The 21,298-nt window shown below is 41.6% G+C and overlaps 1 protein-coding gene across 4 annotated transcripts, besides 7 other annotated features; it reads right to left on the reverse strand.

The window, feature by feature from the left end:
• Nucleotides 1,891-2,766: an enhancer, noted in NCBI's record as "H3K27ac hESC enhancer chr6:52841001-52841876 (GRCh37/hg19 assembly coordinates)". NCBI's record gives its function as "activates a minimal SCP1, AML or CMV promoter by ChIP-STARR-seq in primed H9 embryonic stem cells {active_cell/tissue: H9 hESC(primed)}" and the evidence as "EXISTENCE:reporter gene assay evidence [ECO:0000049][PMID:30033119]".
• Nucleotides 2,160-2,219: an enhancer, noted in NCBI's record as "active region_24691". NCBI's record gives its function as "activates an Ori minimal core promoter by ATAC-STARR-seq in GM12878 lymphoblastoid cells {active_cell/tissue: GM12878}" and the evidence as "EXISTENCE:reporter gene assay evidence [ECO:0000049][PMID:35858748]".
• Nucleotides 2,330-2,439: an enhancer, noted in NCBI's record as "active region_24692". NCBI's record gives its function as "activates an Ori minimal core promoter by ATAC-STARR-seq in GM12878 lymphoblastoid cells {active_cell/tissue: GM12878}" and the evidence as "EXISTENCE:reporter gene assay evidence [ECO:0000049][PMID:35858748]".
• Nucleotides 2,767-3,640: an enhancer, noted in NCBI's record as "H3K27ac hESC enhancer chr6:52841877-52842750 (GRCh37/hg19 assembly coordinates)". NCBI's record gives its function as "activates a minimal SCP1, AML or CMV promoter by ChIP-STARR-seq in primed H9 embryonic stem cells {active_cell/tissue: H9 hESC(primed)}" and the evidence as "EXISTENCE:reporter gene assay evidence [ECO:0000049][PMID:30033119]".
• GSTA4 (glutathione S-transferase alpha 4) lies at nt 3,641-20,972 on the reverse strand. 4 transcript variants are annotated; one of them, NM_001512.4, is made up of 7 exons: nt 20,937-20,972; nt 19,845-19,949; nt 13,045-13,096; nt 11,139-11,271; nt 10,152-10,293; nt 8,262-8,393; nt 3,641-4,280 (listed from the first exon to the last, which is right to left on the reverse strand). In NM_001512.4, the coding sequence occupies exons 2-7, from the start codon at nt 19,929-19,931 to the stop codon at nt 4,158-4,160; spliced, it is 669 nt and encodes a 222-aa protein (NP_001503.1). In that variant the 5' UTR covers nt 19,932-19,949; nt 20,937-20,972; the 3' UTR covers nt 3,641-4,157. The 4 variants fall into 4 exon arrangements, with proteins under 4 accessions (NP_001503.1, XP_005249092.1, XP_011512836.1 ...); XM_005249035.5 differs by having other exon boundaries at nt 19,845-20,089; XM_011514534.4 differs by lacking the exon at nt 13,045-13,096.
• Nucleotides 12,365-12,534: an enhancer, noted in NCBI's record as "experimental_92160 CRE fragment used in MPRA reporter constructs". NCBI's record gives its function as "activates a minimal promoter by MPRAs in K562 erythroleukemia cells, with activity observed for the non-introgressed 6:52851560 variant allele {active_cell/tissue: K562}" and the evidence as "EXISTENCE:reporter gene assay evidence [ECO:0000049][PMID:34662402]".
• Nucleotides 20,893-21,124: a silencer, noted in NCBI's record as "fragment chr6:52860003-52860234 (GRCh37/hg19 assembly coordinates)". NCBI's record gives its function as "represses an EF-1alpha promoter that drives an FKBP-Casp9 reporter gene in an ReSE screen in K562 erythroleukemia cells {active_cell/tissue: K562}" and the evidence as "EXISTENCE:reporter gene assay evidence [ECO:0000049][PMID:32094911]".
• Nucleotides 21,076-21,295: an enhancer, noted in NCBI's record as "active region_24693". NCBI's record gives its function as "activates an Ori minimal core promoter by ATAC-STARR-seq in GM12878 lymphoblastoid cells {active_cell/tissue: GM12878}" and the evidence as "EXISTENCE:reporter gene assay evidence [ECO:0000049][PMID:35858748]".

Consider the following 21,298-nt stretch of genomic DNA (forward strand, 5'->3'; position numbering starts at 1 on the left):
TAAATACACCAATTAAAAGACAAAGACTATCATGAGTAGATTAAAAAAAAAAAAACAAGACTCAACTGTGCATATACAAGGAAGCCATTTCATATATAGAGACACAGATTGATTAAACAAATAAGCATGCCAGAGGGTGCTGAGTGCTATGAAGAAAATAAGAGGATAAGAAAGGGGTTATGTGGGGGCTGGGCGCAGTGGCTCACTCCTGTAATCCCAGCACTTTGTGAGACTGAGGCGGGCAGATCACTTGAGATCAGGAGTTCAAGACCAGCCTGGCCAACTTGGTGAAACCCCGTGCCTACTTAAAATACAAAATTGGCTAGGCGTGGTGGTGCATGCCTGTAATTCCAGTTACTCAGGAGACTGAGACACAAGAATGGCTTGAACCTGGGAGGCGGAGGTTGCAGTGAGCCAAGATCGCACCATTGCACTCCAGTTTGGGTGACAGAGTGAGACTCTATCTCAAAAAGAGAGAGAGAGAGAGAGGTATATTGGTGTATGGGGATGGGGGGCGGGGAAGCTCTGTAGATCTTATGGTCAGAAAAGGATCCCCTCACGTGGGGATATTAACACTAAAGGAATAAGAGCCTGCCATGCAATGTTCTGAGGCTTGTTATTTGGGTTAAAGGAATAAAATGCACATTCAGCCATGAGGGAACAACAGCAAATACAAAAGCCCCTACTGGTTATTGTCTGTTGCAGCCCCTGTCCCGAGGGATTCACTTTCTGCTCTGTTCCATCCCCTAGGGAGGTTGGCCCCTGCAGAACTGCTTCGGCCAGGTGAGGACAGGAGGAGAGTCAGAGTCAAGTGTTTCTTCAAGCACTCAATCTGCCAAAACCTCTCTGAAAGTGTGGCTTTATTCTGGGTCCCTTGGCACTTCTGTCCTAGACACCAGGGTCCCAAGCTGTCCATTTTTCCTCTTTTGTTCCTGACACTGAAGCCTCTGCAACTGCCCCATTTAGGCATGGCTGTGCACTTTAACCCCGTTGGTTCACGTGTCGTGGCTTTTACTCAGTGAACCTCTTGTCTTCCTTCTGCTCTTTCTTGCACCCTGTCTCACTCATGCTGACTTTGGGTTTAGCCTTGAATGCTCAGCATGTTGATATTTTTTGAGGATAAACGATCCTGTCCCTGACTTCCTACTCTATTATCAAAGTCTCATAACTCATGAAAATTGTGGGGGGTAATGGTGATGGTGGTGGTTGGAGGTTTGAGACTAAAGGGTGGGAGCCTGCACCAAAAAAGGAAATGATGAAACTGGGGTAATGCCACCTGAGGCAGAACAGGGTAGGAGGGTGCTGGTTTCCAATATGGAAAGCGAATTGCACAATTTAAGGTCATGCAACCATGAACACGAGAAACATGGGAACCTCTTTTTGTTGGAGAGGGCCTGGTCTCTTGTTTTTATTTCTCTAATCCTTTAATTCAATGCAGAAGCCAAACTTCCTCCCTGGTTTTTTCCTCAAAGAACCAGATTCAGGGGCCCTCTTGTGTCTAAGAGAATTAAAACCCAAGCAGCAAGTACTTGCAAAATGGTTTAAGGTCTATATAGCCAGCCCTTGATTAAAAGTATCAGGCAGTGGCACTGGGTAGTAAAAATAGCAACACAGTAATATAAACTAGCCCAAATTTGCTGCCATCCCACAAAACTCAGTACAGGTTGAGTATCCCTTATCCGAAATGCTTGGGACCAGAAGTGTTTCTGACTTCAGAACATTTTTGGACTTTGGAATATTTGCATTATATTTACTGGCTGAGTATCCCAAACCAAAAAATCCCAAATCCAAAATACTCCAATGAAGATTTCCTTTGAGCTCCATGTCGGCACTCAGTTTCGGATTTTAAAGCATTTTGAATTTCTGAGCATTTCGGATTTCAGATTTGGGCTGCTCCACCTGTAATACAGACCCCTGAGGATTGTCAAGTCAACTGTTTGTTCTCATGTATAGTCTCTAAATGTGTGTAAAATGTTTATCTTCCCTGAAGAGTTTAGAGGGAAGTTTGAGGGGAACCACCCTTAGGTTGGATGATTCATGATTCATTCGAAGGACAATACCCATGGTGTATTGTCAACTGGAGAAGTTTACCCAAGCCTTGGAGCCTAGGTTTTTTACTGGGGGGTCCATCAGGTAGGCCTGGCTGACTGCCCAACAGGTGATCTGTTTTCACTCCCTCCAGAGTTGAGCTGATACCACGTGAACCAGAGCTCTCACCCAGTATCACATTGCTGGTGTGGCTCAAAGCTCTCACCCTAAATCACATTGTTACTAGCTGGGTGGCCCAAGACCCCCAGGCAAACAAAGACACTCCTGTCAGGTCTAGCATTCAAAGGACTTAGAGACTGCCTTCCAGAAGCAAAGGCCACACCTCTGTTGGGGCAGGGTGAAAGTCTTTACTACACACTTCCCATTTTCTTTTTTTATTATTGGCTACTGCACTCAGGGGCCTGGCCAGGGCTGGGCCTCTTTCTCAGAACAGCAGCCTAGGTCAGCACTGTTCCTCAGGCCTGCCTCGGGGCTGCCCCTGCCACCAGGCTTTTGCTCTTGCAGGAATTTTAAATATCAGGGTGATAACAGAGTGCTCACATTATGTAAATATGAAGGCAAATCACTGCCTTGATGTTTGCGCTTGATTTTCCTCTGACGAAAACAGTATTGATTGCATCAGACAATGATCACCTCCCACTTGTCTTTTCTTCTTTTGTTTCCACTGAGCAAAAAATCCCTTCTGTAGCGAGATAAATGAGTGAGACTCTCATCAAAAACTTGCCTTTCCTTAGTTTTAAAATTTCTGAGTAGTAGATACTCCAAAAGCGGCAATTCTTTCCTTTTTAAAATTACTTCTGCTGTTTACATGTGTGTCTCCCCCTACCCTATGCTGAATTCTTCTAAAGCAGGGGCTTTGCTCTACGATTCTGCCTCCTGGCAGTCTGCCTGGCATGTAATAGGTGCTTGATTAGTATTTTTTTTTTTTTTTTGAGATAAGGTCTCAATCTGTCGCCCAGGCTGGAGTGCAGTGGCATGATCTCAGCTCACTGCAGCCTCCGCCTCCCAGGTTCAAGCAATTCTCCCACCTCAGGCTCCCAAGTAGCTGGGATTACAGGGGTGCGCCACCACGCCGAGCTACTTTTTGCAGTTTTAGTAGAGATGAGGTTTCACCATTTTGGCCAGGCTGGTCTCAAACTCCTGACCTCAGGTGATCTACAACTCCTGACCTCAGGTGATCTACCCACCTTGGCCTCCTAAAGTGCTGGGAGACCCTGAGCCCAGTTGATGCTTGATGAGTATTTGAGACGTGAATCAACACCAGTTTAACAGCAGCATTATATTAACAGACCATACTTTTAGTTCTGAAATGCAAAAAATTAGAAGCCTACAAATAACCATTTTGGGTAGTAAGAAGATAAAAATAATATATATTTGCATTTTCTTATACATGTGTCAGATGTAACTGGAAGGGTACACAAATAGTAACTGCATTTGCCTGTGAGAAGCAGGATTCGGTTGCGGGGAAGCAGGGTTGAAAAGACTTCCAAGACTGTAGACCCTTTTATACTTTTTTGATTTTTGAACCGTGCAAATGTATTCTATATTTGAAAAAAACTAATTAAAAAATTCTCACAACAAGACAATGAGCAATGACTCATAAATTCTTTATTTTGGCTAATACTGATTGCATTCATTACTACCATTTTATTTATTACAGCTCAGAGGAGAGTCATTTACTAGACATTCGGTTGTTATTAAACACTAAAAATTAGGCAGAGACTGGAGGGGATAAGGATAAGAGAACAGGATAAGGAGAGCAGAAAGACGCTCAGGAGAGTAGAAAGACACTCAGGAGAGAACAAGAGATCCTGCCCATTCTTATTATGAGGATGAACTGGCTACAGGACATGAGTAGCCCAATCAGATCTAACTTAAATACCAGCCTCTCCAAAAAAGTTTTCCAATAAAGATCCCCTAACAATTATTTACTGGACAAAAAAGGTTGATATTTCTAGAAGAGATGATCTCGTTGACACAAAAGACCCAACTTAGGACCCAACTTAATACATAGATAGCACCATGACAGAGCTGGGATCCATTAAGACATGACTGTAGACAATACCATCTCTAGGAACACACTGTCACTCACACATGGATGTGTTGTTTTATGGCCTAAAGATGTTGTAGACGGTTCTCACATAAATTTCATCAGGGGGAGGCTTCTTCTTGCTGCCAGGTTCAAGGAATCTCTTAATTGTAGGGATATTACTTAGTTTCACTGTGTATTCCTGAAAAAGGAAAACCAAAACTTTAAGGCTAACAAAAAAGGTATTAGATACTACGAAGATATGGTTATGCAAAATGGCCCACCAAAATTTGTTCAATAAATACTTGTTGAAGAGTTCCAAGCAGAAATGAAATTTAGCATTTGTTTAGCAGGGGTGTCCAATCTTTTGGCTTCACTGGGCCACACATAAAATACACTAACACTAAAGGTAGCTAATGAGCTGAAAAAAAAACCTCAAAATATCTCATAATGTTATAAGAAAGTTTATGAATTTATGTTAGGCCACATTCAAAGTTGTCCTGAGCCACATGCAGCCCGCGGGCTGTGGGTTGGACAAGGCTAGGTTAAGATCTGATCTCTATGATTATTTACAATCTCTGTCATCAATCACCGGTATCAAGATCAGAGTTTACACAAATCTCCAGGTTCACAAAAAGGTAAGCACTCTTTACAGAAATGGCAAAAGTAAAAACATACTCAAAATAGAATTATGACACTTAAGGTGAAAAAAAAGGAAGGGGAAAACTCACTGAAAACACCTCCAGTGTATTGTTTTGTATTGTTTTTTAACAGTAGTCAATTTGAAGCAGTGGGAGTGGGGAAGGAACAAAGAAATCTGTAACTGGTTGTGATCAATTAGCTGTAAACACCACTCGGACTAGCCACCTGAAGTGCACTGATCTGCTGGGAGAAAATGCATGAGCCACTTAAGTAAAGGTGCTTTAAAAAGTCACTAGATGGTACAATTTATATCTTAAGATTCAGCTTCTTCAGAGTTTTTACTCCTATCAGTAAGTGAATCCTCTTTCTGGCTATGTGCAGGAAATAGCCAGTTGCATTTTTTTCATAGCCTCTGGCTCAGATACCAGATATTTATATAAACTGGAATGGAAGAAAAACATTGTATTTTTCATTCACAGAATCAAATCTTACCAATTCTCAGTAACTGAGAAGAAAAGCCCATTTGATCTAATGAAAAATCTGAACTATATGAAGAAGCATATGCTCATCATATATAATTATTCTAATAAAACCTTTTAAAGATATTTAAATAAAACCATTTATTTAAAAGTGAAGAGGTCATTTTAAATAGCTACTATTTATTAATTGCCTATTATGTGCAAGGCACAGCCTTAATTAAGCACACACACAAACATACATACGTCACTAATAGTAACAAAAACCCTAATAATGATGCCAATTAATTATATATAAATATGACAATTTTCTCTTTTCATTACGTACTTAAGCTCTACTTGTATGATTTTAAATATTATACCAAAATTTAGAATCTTGTTCCAAATGATGTATTGTTTCAAGATTTATCTGGGGTTCATAGTTATCAAAGTATAGTAAAATTTTTGTGACTTTTTAAATCCATTAATCAACACAGGAATAACCCTTTAAATTCAACACAGATCTGGTGTCCGATTCTGAAGTTTTAAAATATTGATGCTCAATCTGATCACAGATTAAAACTGTATTTACGCAGATAATGCTTGGGGCTTAAAAAAGGGTTGTTATTATAGTATCATCAATGTAAAATACCAATAGGTCCTGGTGCTACAGTTTACCAAAAAACCTTGATCTCTATCATTTACCCTAGACTTTTAAAATCTTTTGTGTCCATTCAATGAAAAGTACTTTACTGCCTGTGAGGTGTGTGTCTATGTGTACACAAGCATGTATATATATGCATGCCTGGAAAGATTTCACTTTGTTTTTTTTTTTGAGACACAGTTTTGCTCTGTCACCCAGGCTGCAGTGCAGTGGCATGATCTCGGCTCACTGCAACCTCCACCTCCCCAGTTCAAGTGATTCTCCTGCCTCAGCCTCCGAGTAGCTGGGATTACAGGCACATGCCACCATGCTCAGCTAATTGTTTTATTTTTAGTAGAGATGGGGTTTCACCATGTTGGCCAGACTGGTCTTGAACTCCTGACCTTAAGTGATCCACCCACTTCAGCCACCCAAAGTGCTGGGATTACAGGTGTGAGCCACTGCGCCCGGCCTAGATTTCACCTTTAATAAGCTTAGCATTCTACCTACTTCTGGGTTCAGCATCCCACCTATTTGGGGCCAAAGGTACTTCTAGTACTTCTAAATGTGTTTCTCAGAAACCACACAGTCTAGTGGAAAGAGTACAGACTTAGATCCCTGACTCCCCTGTGGCTCCCAACTCAGTCATCCACAGTCTTGCAACTATGCAGAATGTAATGTTTCCAAGCTGGTAATTTTCATCTGTAAAATGGAGATAGTGAAGCCCATCTCCTAGGGTTATTGGGGTGGGGTTGACGGGACAGATGAGCAAATGCATGTAAGTGCCTAGCAGACTGACTGGAATGAAGCTGGCACTCAACAAGTTGCAGATCCCTTCCTCTAATTTCCCTTCTCTGCTAAACAAGTAACTTTTTTAACAGTGCAAAAGAATACTTCAGGTGAAAAGTATCCTAAGTTCTGAATGAATAAAATCAAATTAAGGAAAGTCAATCTCTGTGTCTGCAAAAGTAAATGAAAAAAAAATTGAAAAAAAAATATAAACTATAACATAAATGATATGGTGGTTTATTGCCTTGTTGAAGATTTTTATTCTCATTTTCTGGGTGTACTTATTGAACTGGTGGTAATTGCTCTCATTAGTATATCAAAATATTTAATAGACTTGGCAAAAAATTGTTTTAAGTATGTGTGTTACTCTTTGGAGAGTTAGTGTATCTCTCTTGGCTTTTGATAACTTGGTCAAACATATAGCAATTTGGTCTGTATCCAGGCTGTTTCAGGGATTGGCAAGCTTTTTCCATAAAGGACCAGTCAGCAAATATTTTAAGTTCTGCAGGCCATATGGTCTCTATCAGATCTACTCAACTCTGCTGTAGAAAAACAAAAGTAACCTTGACATTGTGTAAATGAGTGGGCATGGCTTTGTACCAATGAAATTTATGAATACTAGAATTTGAATTTCATATAATTTTTATGTGTCATGAAATATTATTCCACAGATTTTTTTCAACCATTTAAAAATGTAAAAATTATTCTTAACTCACAAGCTGTATAAAAACAGGTGGCAGGCCAGGTTTGGCCCAGGAGTTACAGTCTGCACATTAGACTTGGAGATAAAAGGCTAAGGTTCTAGATAAAACTCAAGCATCCACTGCCTAAGCCAGCTTGGCTGCTGATTTCTTTATTCTGGGTCTCTACTTCCTCAAGTGAATATTGAAGTCATTAAATGAGTTTTTTTTTAAAGGCCCTTCTCTCCTTTAAAGTTCTATGATCAATCCTGCCAGAATAACCCTGAGGGATAATTTGAACCACACAAGTCTTTCCTTGGAATTCTCAGAAGGAGAATGGTAGGAATCCTTTGGGGTGATGTTTAGGGTGCTAACATCTCTCATTTGCTCTCAGAGCTCAGGCTTAGAATTTCCTAACTTGAGACCATACTATTTCTGAGAAAGGGAGTCATAGCCTGATGAATGAGACTGTTTTGATGTTTATCTCGCCCACTATTCCATCAGTAGATACATGTGAGTGTGAGACCACCTCATCTCTATGGTTATTTCTATGGAAAGTCCCCTGAGGCAAACTCCCTGTGCATGGAGTTTTTTCCAGGAGTGCAGTTATGGAACAAAATTAAGATGAAAATTTCTGAGCTGGGTGTGCTGGCACATGCCTATAGTCCCTGCTACTCAGGAGACTGAGGTGGGAGGATCTCTTGAGCCCAGGAGTTCAAGACCATTCTGGGCAACATAGTAAGATCCCACCTTAAAAAAAAAAAATTTTACACTTCAATGATCTTTCAACTTGAAGGATTTAAGGACCAGAAAAATAACTTTGGGTCCTTACTTTCATTTCATTTGCCAAACTAGAATCTTAAAAATATTACACATACACACACACACACACTCCCCAAAGCCAACCAAACAATAGACACTGAAGGAAGGCCCAAGAGTTCTAGGCCAATCTTCTAATACATAGTTTTATTTACCTGGAGGAAAGGAAATGCAGACAGGATATTAGGAATTTTCTCTTCTAGAGCTAAAATGGTTTGGAGTAAAATCACATCTGCAAGGCTCAGCTGATTACCAACAAGAAAGCTTTGTCCGTGACCCCTTAAAATCTGTAGGGAAATGGTGTGCATCAGTTACAATATTCCACATGGAGAGAGTGATGAGGCTATTGAATCAGTGCAGTATCTGAGAAGAGGTGAAACTATGACCTTGTCATTTCATGCTTTCATAAATAACATCAATTAAGAGAACGCACCCTATATCTGACAGAGAGAGTGAGAGAGAGGGGGAGAGAGAGAGAGAGAGAGCGAGAGAGAGAGAGAGAAAGTACAAAAAAGGTGTGGAAATGAAAGCATCCTTAAATATCTGCTGTGGATCTGAATGAGACATTGAAGTGGGGAAGGGAAAATTCCTTATTTCTGGATTTAGCATCTGGTGTTTTGAAAGGATATATCTACTCCAAAAATGTATCTACAGAAATGCATGCAGGAGGCTTGGGGAGGGGCAGGGTGATTTAAGAAATCTAAGTGATAGATCATCTTCAAGGGGCCCACTCTTATTTCCCAGTTCTGCTGCTAGAACATCAAGAGGTGTAGTCATAAACTCAACCCAATTATAAAATTAGACTTCCTCTTACATGTCCCAAAACAGAGAAAATGAAAAGCTTGAGTTCATCTTGACTCCCATTCTGAGGGTAACGTATAGGTGTGGGGCTTATAAGAATAGATTGTGATTAGGGAGAGGCAAGAAGCAGTAGTAGCAAAGGGGAGATCCCCTTCACAGTCAACTCTTGGATGCCCATGGGTGTCTGCATGTGCACAAGTGTGTGTGTCACAGGGACTCCGAACACAATTCCAGGTCAAATATAGCTACTGGAGCCAGAGTGGCATAGTACAATGCATCCTGAATTTGTAGTCAGAGGCCAGAGTTCCAACCCTGCTCTCCATTTTCTGGCCATGTTACCTTGGACAGGTCACTGAATCTCTTCATGACTTCATTTCATTATGTGTAAAAGGGACAACGGTTCTCACCTCATAGGCGTGTTGCAAGAAACCCTGACACAGTCTGGGCCCTTGGGACCTAAGAATGAGCAGTGAACCTTTGCCAAAGCACCAGGTCCTCTGTGCCCGTTCCAGACCACATTTCTTCATTATCCTATTTTACATTCACAAAGTGCCTGTGGGAAAGATACCATAAAACCTAGCTACAGAAACCCCAGAAAATACCTCTCCTTTTTCCTAAATCTAGTTCCATAAAGATGGTCAGAGGAAGCTTGCCAAATAGGTCTTCCCATATTTTCACACCCTCTTCTTTAGTGTTTGCATTGAAACACTAAAAAAGTTCCTCCCAGTTCAGGAATAAAGAATTTGAAGCTCAGAAAAGCAGATATAACAAGAAGAGAAAAACAACAAAACCAAAAACAAAAAGAGCAAAGGGAAGATAAATAAAATGGAAATGGTTCTTCTACTCATATCGAATTATCAGGGAGGATGTCAGCTGAGACAGCTGTTCGACAACTTTTGTTGAATGAATGAATGAGGTAGTTTTTGTTTTCTGTATCTTCTGAAGTTTCTGCTGTATCCACACAAGGTGGGAACTTGGTGAATGCAAGGAACAATAAGGAACAAAGGCAGGGAGCCCATACTTTTTCTAGACTTCTGAATCATGTGGTCCTAGCAGAGTCCAAGGGGCTCTAAGACACCAGCTTTGTGCTGTGGCTACTATTCGCTCTTAGGAGTCCATTAGCGCTTAGGTTAGTTCAACTGGGCTCAGTTTTAAAATCCTTGGACAGAAAAGGGTGTTTGTGGCAGCTTCTTTGTGGTTTGTGGTTTGGTTGCTCTGTGTATGTAGGCATCTCTGCCACCTACCTTTTCAAACACAGGAAAGTATCTAATTATAGCCTTCTGGGCCATGTTAACCACTTCCTTTTGCTGATCATCTGGTTTTAAGAAAGGATGCATGATAAGCAGTTCCAGCAGATCCAGTGTCCCCTCCACGTACATGTCAATCCTTAAAACAAAAAAGCAGTTGTCTCAGTTTCTCCTCTCTTTGAAGCCATCAGTTTCCACAACTAAGAATTCAGAGTGCTTTTTTTTTTTTTTTTAAAGATGCTGCAACTTAAGTCCCTAGAAGCATTTACCTATACCTGTCTCTTAAGAGCAAAGATATAAGGTCAATTCTAGTTGTAACTCAGAAAAATCTGTCACAGATCAGACAGCTTGACAGTCATGAGTGCTCTCTCTCCTGGCATCCTACTCCTCCACTTTTACCCCAGCATCCATGTTTTGGTCTCTTCGTATGGGTCAAACTTCAACTTTATAAAAATAGTGAATACCACTTATTGAGTGCTTAGAGTGTACCAGGCATGGTGCTAAACACTCTCTATCCATTATCTCATTAAATCACATGACACTATGAGAAATGTACTATTCTTATACCCACGTTGCCCAGGGTCATACATCTAAGGGGTGCAAGGACCAGGCTTTGATTTCAAATTATAATCTAATGCTCACTCTCCCAGGCCTTGAATGTCACAGCAGCTCCTCATTCCTAATACTTAACAATAGTGAATGTGCAAGAAAGGGAAAAAGCAGTATCAAAGCATTTAAAAATGTTGAAATCTGAAACAATGACACCCTAGATATAATATTCAATATCTGAATCCTATTCTTTTGTTTTACTCAGACTCTCTCTACTGAAGTTCCAACTGGTCTTCGTGACCTTCTTGGGTTTTTGTTCCCTGATCTCACTAACTATGTAAGACATAAAGTAAATGTGGTGTGCTACAGAGGTTGCTAATCAGCTAAGGCATCAGTAAGCTGACAAGTGACAACACTCGAGAGGGGCCACAGTACAGGGTTCTCTCCTTGAGGTTCTTGCCAAAGAGATTGTGCTTGTCTGCTATGTAGTGGAGAATGCTTCGGGTCTGTACCAACTTCATCCCGTCAATTTCAACCATGGGCACTTGTTGGAACAGCAGGTGGTTACCTGAGAATGGAAGCCCAGAGTTAGAAGTGATCTTTTCTTCTCTGTCCCCCAACCCCTAAAAAATGCTCTGTGGAATGAAAAGAAACGGTGGAATCATGGCCTTAGGAAATAGTGTAAAGCTTCCAGATGACAGATAACCTTAACTTCATTCAGGAGAGCAGATTTAGCCACAAAAGAAGCCTGAAGGGGCCAGGCGTGGTGGCTCAAGCCTGTAATCCCAGCACTTTGGGAGGCCAAGGCAGGCGGATCATGAGGTCAGGAGTTCAAGACCAGCCTGGCCAACATAGTGAAACCCCGCCTCTACTAGATATACAAAAATTAGCCGGGTGTGGTAGCAGATGCCTGTTGTCCCAGCTACTTGGGAGGCTGAGACAGGAGAATTGCTTGAACCCGGGAGGCGGAGGTTGCAATGAGCCAAGATCGCGCCATTGCACGCCTGGGCAACAGAGCAAGACTCTACCTCGAAAAAAAAAAGAAGGCTGAAAACTAGCATTGTTATAAACGTTCCCTTTTCATTTTCACCCCAGGAAAAATACCTATCCACAGTGATAAGGGATTGAGGGGAATGTAGTGAAGATATTTCTTCAGTGCTACACTGGCCAATACAGCAGTCACCAGCTACACGCAGCTATGTAAATCTAAATTTAAATTAATTACAATTTTTAAAACTTAAAATTCAGTCCCTAAGTTGCACTAGACATATTTCATGTGCTCAACAGTCACATTTGCCTAGTGGCTACCATATTGGACAATGCAGAATAGAACGATTCCTTCACTGTAGAATGTTCTGCTGGACAGCACTGTTTTTAGAGAATCTGATCATGAAACCTAAGTAACTAGCTGAGACTCATGTATACTCTTTGGCTCATGTATACTCTATGGCTACTCTGTAGCCACAGAACAGACCGTTTACTACCAAGTTTGCTGTCACTAGTTAAAAAAACAACCCATTGTTTTATTTAACAAACCTGAATCCAACACTTTCCACATACCAAACCCTGGGGAGAGATGCCGGTATAGGGTACAGCTTGGCCTTGAGGGTTTGAGCATTCGGAGCAGGTGAGGGGAGAGGCAAGAGGAGTACTTAGCACATGCCTAGTGGCTTCCAGCCACCGTCACACACAAAAGGTGGCCTTACAGCCCTGGAGAGCCGGTACCACACAGGGGAGCCTCCAGCTGGGCCTGAGGACCCTGCTGTTGGCTGGGAGGGAGGCTGCTCACAGGGTTGATGGGCGCATTCTTTATGGGTCTGCTGGTGGCTCCTGCTATAATGGATGGGCAAGGAGGGAGCAGGGCTGACCAGGAATTAAAGGTGAAGGGAGGGGGCAGTTCGTTGATTTCACTTCTGTGTAGTATTTACTTCAGAAAGTACCCCATGTAAATGGGGATATTTATTTGCATACTTCAAGCAGGCCAGGATGCCTCAGATAGTGTGAAGGAAGTAGGGAAAGATGAGAAGGAGGGAAGGGGCAAGGGAGAGAAAGAAAGGGGGAGGAAGAGATTGGAGGGGAGAGGGGAGAAGAAAGGGATGGAGAGGAGCTGTTCACCGGGATGTGGAAGGAACTGCTCACCCCCTTCGGCCAGCTTTTATGGAACTATTGAATAAGAAGTGATTTCCTGGCAATTTCAACTATTTATTCCCTCTTGCTTTTTTTGGTTTTAGGATACTGTTCTGAATGTTCAGTGTCATTGAATACTTTTGCCCTTCCACATAAACAGCAGCTCTTAAAGGAAAATCAGTATTAGAGGCAGTTGTTTCATTTTCATACTCACCATCCTGCAACTTGTACAACTGTTCTTTTGTTTCCAGAAATTCTTCATCAAACTAAATTTTTAAAAAAGAAACGTATATATACATAGTGGAATATTATTCAGCCATTAAGAAAACAAAATCCTGTCATTTTCAGCAACACCAACAGAAACAGAGGTCATTACGTTAAGTGAAATAAGCCAGGCACAGAAAGACAAAGACTGCATGTTCTGATTCATATGTGGGAGCTAAAAAAGTGGATCTCATGGAAATAGAAAGTTGATTGGTGCTTACTAGAGGCTGGGAAGTGTAGAGAGGAATGGGATGTGAAAAGAGGTTGGTTAATGGTACATAAATACAGCTAGACAGAAGAAATAAAATCTAGTGTTCGATAGTACAGTAGGCTATAGTTAACAATAACGTATTACACAGTTCAAAATGGCTAGAAGAGAATTGGAATGTTCCGCCATAAAGGAAAGATAAATGTTTGAGGTGGGTGATGGATATCCTAATTACCCTGATTTGATCACTACACATGATACACATGTATCAAAATATCAAATGTATTCCCCAAATATGTACATTATGCATCAATTTTTTAAAAAGATATCCTCACCCTCCAAAAGGAGGTAAATATCATACAGGCTCAGGACAAAAAATGCCAAGTTAAACAGTCTTAAGAAGCAGAGAGAAAGAGCAGACTTAGCATCCACATCTTGGTTTCTAAATATCACTGCCCCCTAAAAGGAACTAGGGGTCCTATAAGAGAAGGTTGATTTTGTTATGCCAGAAAGCAAGGAAGTGCTCAAATGTGAAAGAGAAAGGCATGGAGGGCCCTGTAAGGGGAATCCCTACCAAATCTGGGAAAATTTAAGCATCAAAAAGAATGATGTCAATTATGGATTATAACACCCAACAATAAAATCTCTATGTCCATAAATGATGATGCTAAAAAAAAAAAAAGGTAGGAGGAAGGAAAAGCTCTTTTTTACAGAAGACTTAATTAAGTTACTTAATTATGATAAAGGGAAAGTGTCGATTTATAATGGAGAGATCGGGAGATCTCTCACCCTCTGTCTAACCAAACAATCAAACTTGGCTCCCCAGTGGAGAACACTCTGACATCCTGAGGCTTCTGTTGTTAACAAAGTGAGAAGGGCACAGTCACACCTGCTAAAACAACACCAAAAATATTTACCCTGAATCTACACACAAGGTGAAAATCAGGTATATTCAGGATGTGGGACCTTACGAACATAATGGCCTGGACTTCTCAAGAGTCGAAGGCATGAAAAAAAAGTCAGGTCCTGTTGATGAAAATCAACTAGAGACTTAACAACCAAATTGGAAGTAGATTTCAGAGGAGAGGAAACTGTTATAACTGCTAAACAGACGTGTAACCATTATATAGACATTTGGGGGAAAACGGAAAATTTGAATATGGATTGCATATTAGATGTTGTGAAGGCAGTGTTAATTTTCTTGGTGGTGACAATGGTATTGTGGTTATTAGGACAATTATTTATTTTGCCTTGGTGTCAGAGGCGTGTGAACCAGAGCAACTCCATCTTGAACAGGAGCTGGGTAAAATGAGGCTGAGACCTACTGGGGGGCTGTATTCCCAGACAGTTAAGGCATTGTAAGCCACTGGATGAGACAGGAGGTCAGCAAAAGATACAGGTCATAAAGACCTTGCTGATAAAACAGGTTGCATTAAAGAAGCCAGCTAAATCCCACCAAAACCAAGATGGTGATGAGAGTGACCTCTGGTCGTCCTCATTGCCACACTCCCAAACAGCACCATGACAGTTTACAAAGGCTATGGCAATGTCAGGAAGTTACCCTATATGATCTAGAAAGGGGAGGCATGAATAATTTACCCCATTGTTTAGCATATTATCAAGAAATAACTATAAAAATGGGCAACCAGCAGCCCTTGGGACTGCTCTATAGAGTAGCCATTCTTTTATTCCTTTACTTTCCTAATAAACTTGCTTTTGCTTTGCACTGCAGACTCGCCTGAAATTCTTTCTTCTGCAAGATCCAAGAACCCTCGGTTGGGGTCTGGATCAGGACCCCTTTCCTGTAACATTGGGAGGAAGACACATGCTGATGTCTGCAACTACTTTGAAACAATTCAGAAAAAAAAGGAAGGGAGAAAGCAAATGTAGCAAAATGTTAACAATTGGTGAATTTAGTTGAAAAACATTCAACTTGGAGGGGTGGGGCAGAATCAGGATCATAGGCTTGGCTTCTGCTACTTGCCAGAGTGGGTGCTCATGGTGTGAGGAAAGGAGCCTCAATGCTCCCAGAGGATCTCCATCTAATGCTCATGAACAGTATCCTTGGGGCAACAATGCTCGAAGCCTAGATGGTCAGATGTAGTGCAGGCAGTACTCCTGGATCAATTGACAATTTGTCTCTCAGATAGATTCAGTTGAGGAATTTGTCCCTGGATATTTGTACTACAACATACTAAAATCAAAAGTCAAAACATCATATTAGTTAACAGAAAGGGTTATTTATTTATTTTTTCTTAGAGGTCTGTCACACAGGCTGGAGTGCAGTGGCTCAATCACAGTTCACTGCAGCCTCAACCTCCTGGGCTCAAGGGATCCTGCCACCCTCAGCCTCCCAAGAAGCTGAGATTATAGGCTCAAGCCACCACATTTAGCTCAGAAAGTTTATATGATATATGCAGGGACAAGGTGCTCAACTGATGCTCCCAGTTAATGGTAGAAATGGTGTAAATCCTCCACGTCTCAAAGGGGATTTGCCTGGGTTTTAAGGGGTCTTCGGGCAAGTAAAGTTCCAAGCATGGAAGAAACAACCAACATAGAGCAATGTCAATGATGACTCAAATTAAGTGACTGACCAGCATTGAGAACTCCCTGAATTAGAAAAGGCTGTTTTTCAGTAGGTTTTAGTGACCTAGTTACTCAGATGTGTGTGCTTCAACTTTAGGTTCAACCCAATCGTGGGATATTGAGAATCATGGACTTGTCTGGTGGCTGCCAGCTGGTCCCTCCCGACTGTCTCAGATCTATGTGAGCACAAACTTAGCTGGCAAAGAGACGGGGAGGGCCCCTCCCCACCACCTTGTAAACCATGTGGTCACCCTGGGAGAGAGACCAATCTAGCTTCATCCAGTCTGGTCTGAGGAGTGGGCTCATTACTCTACCTGATCAGCCTGTTCCTGTGATTGGACTGGGGTAGGTGGGTCAGATGACTCATGTTCTTTTTTTGTTTAACTTATTTAGGGTTGAGTTTTTATTACTGTAACTAAAAATGTTGACTCATAGGTGAGTAGGAGGGGCAGGGTAGAATGAAGAGAGAAGATTTGACAAAGGGTTATATTGCATACATATATAAGACATCCATTCAAAACCTATGAAATAAATCAAGAATTACAAACTCAGAAGCCTATGGGGGTTAGAAAAATGACAGACACAAGTGAAGTTGAGCAGGTTCAGGGGACCATGAATGTTTTTCACTTTCCTCTTAACAGTTAGCAAACACACCCTGAAACAAGAGGGCGAGGTGGGGCAGTCCTTATTCAGATCCAACAATTGCTGCCCTGTGAAAATGAGCTCAGGATCACCACATCTTCCAATTTCTAAAGACAAGTCAGAAATCAGAATTTGCATATGAAAATGATGTCAACTCATTTAGAAAATTGTAAAACACCATGTGGCAAGTTGTCATAGGCAAAAAATAAAAACAAAGAACAAACACAAAACGCATAACCCAACAACTCACATTTGCATCTTTGGAGGTTGCTAGGGCAACAACGCATTATTGTGAAAATTTATAATCAAGCATTTACCTCGCCTTTCCTATATGAAGCATATTTTAAAGTAATTAAATAGTTAATGAGTGACAAGTACTCTCTTAGAAGAGAATCACAGTTCATAAACATAGGTGAAATGATGGAAATTGAAAGAATTGCCATTTTGTAATCCCTAACAATGATGATGATCAATAGCTAGTAAAACCACAAGTTGAAAAGAATATGGGAGAAACTATAATGTGTGGATTGGGGTTGATATCACAGGAACACACCGATGAAGGTCGGCATCACTGAAAACGAGACAACCCCTGATGTGATACAATAGAAGTGTGTTCACAGTATCTCTTCTGACATAGTCTGGCAGGGAAAAAAAAAGTTAAAGAGAAAGAAAAAAGGAGCCTGAAGTGATCATGCCTCTGGGTCCAGCTAGTAATTTATGGGAAGTACAGAGAATAGAGGAGCATGTTAAAATAAAGGTATCCTCACTTTACCATGTTACCTCAAGGCAACACCTGGAGGGTAAGTAAACCAAATCCAGAATAGGGAAAATTCTACAGGGCAGTTTCTTCCAAAAATAAATGGCACTAGAAACAAACGTAGACATCTAGCACCCAGATCTTGGCTATTAATACCTTTTTTTTTTTTTTTTTTTGAGATGGAGTCTCGTTCTGTTGTCCAGGCTGGAATGCAGTGGGGCAATCTCGGCTCACTGCAACCCCCGCCTCCCAGTTCAAGCGATTCTCCTGCTTCAGCCTCCTGAGTAGCTGGGACGACAGGCACATGCCACCACACCCAGCTAATTTTTGTATTTTTGGGAGAGACGGGGTTTCACCATGTTGGTCAGGCTGGTCTCGAACTCCTGACCTCATGATTTGCCCACCTCGGCCTCCCAAAGTACTGGGATTACAGGTGTGAGCCACCGTGCCGGCTGGTTAATACCATTTTTCTATTGAAGAAATTCCTGATTCTAGGGCTAGGGAAGGGAAAATATTAATACAAGATGAGCACAGAGCATTTTATACTGTCAGAAAGTGCTGAGAACAAAAAAGAGGCCAATCTGAAATAAAAAAAGGTAAACCTGAAAGAGCACCAGTGGCTAAAGCTGAAACAATTTAGGCAATTTAAGTCATCAGACTATAATCTAAAATATAAAATCAATATACTTAGGTCTATAGTGACACAAAGAATTGAATAACTGAAGAAATGAGTGGAGATAAATCTTCCTTATATAAAAATTCCAAATGTAGATACTCCCTCACCCAGGAGGTAGAGCTTAATTCTCATCATTTTGAATGTGGGCTGGACTTCATGATCTGCTTCAGAAGAATACAAGGAAACATAGTAACTTTAAAATGCAGCAACCTGGCAGAGACTACCTTAACCATGTGATCCAGGTTAATACTGCCAGTGACAACTCATGTTGATACGTAACCCCTAATATGATGACGTGAACATACTTCACCTCTGTGGCATTCTTTCCCCAAACCCATAACCTCAGTCTAATCATGAAAAAAACAAGATAAACCCAATTTGTAGAGGATTCTACAAAAATATCTGACCAGTGCTTTTCAAAACCGTCAAGATGGTAAAATGAAGGAAACGACTGGGAAATTGTCATGGATTGTTGGCAACTATGGAAACAGGATGAATAAATATAATGTTGGATCGCGGGATAGTAAAAGGACATTAGCAAAGGGCCGGGCGTGGTGGTTCACACCTGTAATCCCAGTACTTTGAGAGGCCCAGGTGGGTGCATCACTTGAGGTCTGGAGCTCAAGATCAGCCTGGCCAACATGGAGAAACCCTGTCTCTACTAAAAAAATACAAAAATTAGCTGGTCGTGGTGGTGTGCACCTGTAGTCCCAGCTACTAGGTAGGCTGAGGCAGGGGAATTGCTTGATCCTGGGAGGCGGAGGTTGCAGTGAGCCGAGATCACACCACTGCACTCCAGCCTGGGCTACAGAGCCAGCCTCCGTCAAAAAAAAACCCAGAACATTAGTAGAAAAAACAGTGAAATCTGAATAAAGTCTGTAGTTTAGTTAGTCATGCACCAATGTTAATTTCGTAATATGACATGGTGATGTAAGATGTTATCATTAAGGGAGACTGAATGAGGGACTGTATTATTTTACAACTTTTCTATAAATCTGAAAATATTCCCAAATATAAATTTGTAAAAAATGAAGAGGAAACTTACAGGTTTTTAAAATACCGAAAGAAACATAACCATTTTAAATGTAATGCGTAGACCAATGTCTAGATCCAAACTAAAACAAACTATAAAAACAAACAAACAAACAAAATGCCTGTTTGAGACAATCAGACTGAAGGTTAGATGACAAAGAATTGCTAATTTTGTTGGATGTGATAATAATATTGTTACATTTTAAAATCCTCATCTGTTAGAGGAAAATGTTGAGGAACTCCCAGATGAAATGTTATGATGTTTGGATTTTGCTTTAAAATACTCCCACAAAACAAGGGAAGGGAGGTGATAGATGAAACAAGATTAGCATAGAGCTGATGATTGCTGAAGTCGGGTGATGAGTACATAGAATTCATGGCAATGTTCTCTCTACATTTATTGGTATTTGAAAATTTCCATACTAAGAAGCTAAAAGAACAGAACGAAAACAAAAACAGACACACACACATATGTAAGCAAGATACCAAGGCTGCCAGTTTGAAGCCACTGAAGAAAACAAGAAATTTACCCTGAGAATGCATAATTAATAAGAGCTCAGAGTAACTGACAATTTTCAGGTAAATTTCCTTTCTTCTTATTAATAAATATTCACTGGTGCTAGATCAGAAGCCAATAATTAAGTAAAAGTCAAAAGGAAAATAGAATTCCATCAACTACGTTCTAATTATAAAGAAAAATCCCTTCAGGGATGGTATCTGACTCAGTGAAGCGTGCCTGTGATTTTGGTGGACGAGAACTAGAACTGAACGGTGCTTCAAAACGTATTTTTCTTTCAAAGGTCTCAAAAGCTGTATGACAAATCCGTGAAGAAACAGCATATAAGGTACCTCGACTCCGGCGGCAGCTAAAACCCATCTCACGGACTCCATCCGGCCTCTTCCGTTGGGATAGTGGAGCTTGGGCCTTGCTGCCATGATAGCTTTTCAGGCTTTCTGAAATACAAATGCAGCAGCTCGTCGCAGACCAACAGTCCCAATTTCGCGTCTTCAACCCAGTGCTCAGGGGCGAAATGAATATTCAGGATTTTGGCACGGGAAACTGTTCTTTATTTTTGTTGCTGCATTTTCCCTCACTCAAGAAAAAAAAACCACCATTTTAAAACATGGAGAAAAAAACCTTGGCTTTTATATGATTTCTATTTATGACTTCTTATCCTGGATCTTGGGAAGCTGGGGCCATTTGTTGTAAAAACATATGTGCTAGCAGTACGGGATTTCACAAATTCAGAATATTATATATTTTGACCTCGAGAATCTCAGATTTTCCAAATTCAGCTGGGGGATAGGGGGTGGCAGGCGTTGAAGAGGGTAGCGAAGGAAAATCGCACAGCCACTGGAAGCTCTTCAAGTATTCATGCTTTTACATACATCATCATATTTTATTATCACGGCAACTGGAAGGTGAACAGGCCGAGTACTACTACTGTCTGCAAAATGTGCGTCCACCGTCACGCATGCGGTGGCTGCGCCCCCCGGGTCCCGCGTGTCCACCACCCCTACAGGGAGATGAGCCCCCGGCCTTGTAAAACGAGCCGGGGGCCAGGGCTTGGCCATCTGAGATCGCACTCTCCCATGCTCGTCTTCCCCGCTCAGCCCATGCAGGGGCGTAGCGGCAGCCCAGCCAGGCCCGGGGACGATCCGAGCCCACCTTCCACCAATGCATTCAGACTCCGCAGAAGGGGTTTAAAAAAAAATACGCACACTGAGCCAAGAAGGACCCCAGCTCCAGCCAAGGGGCCCACCTCTGCCCAGACTGGATGGAGCAGGAGGACAAAGGACAAGAGGAAGAAAAGACAAGAGAAGGACTGAACTGGGGGAGTGAGGGAAGAATGCGAGAGTGAGACTCAGAGAGTAAAGGGGAGGGAAAAAAAAGAAGAGAGAAAGGGCGAGGAAGGGGGCGACCGCAGGAGGGAGACAGACCTGGAGTCCACTCGGAGGCCTGGAGCCGCACAAAGCGCCAGGTCAGCGGTCCCGGCTGGGTGAGACCAGCAGGCGGCTCTAGCGCGCGGGAGCTGGGCGAGGCTCCGGGACGACCTCACCAATGGAGACTGCAGTATTTAGCATGCCCCACCCATCTGCAAGGCATTCTGGATAGTGTCAAAACAGCCGGAAATCAAGTCCGTTTATCTCAAACTTTAGCATTTTGGGAATAAATGATATTTGCTATGCTGGTTAAATTAGATTTTAGTTAAATTTCCTGCTGAAGCTCTAGTACGATAAGCAACTTGACCTAAGTGTAAAGTTGAGACTTCCTTCAGGTTTATATAGCTTGTGCGCCGCTT

This window comes from Homo sapiens, chromosome 6 (genome assembly GCF_000001405.40).
Source record: "Homo sapiens chromosome 6, GRCh38.p14 Primary Assembly".
Taxonomy (NCBI): Eukaryota; Metazoa; Chordata; class Mammalia; order Primates; family Hominidae; genus Homo; species Homo sapiens.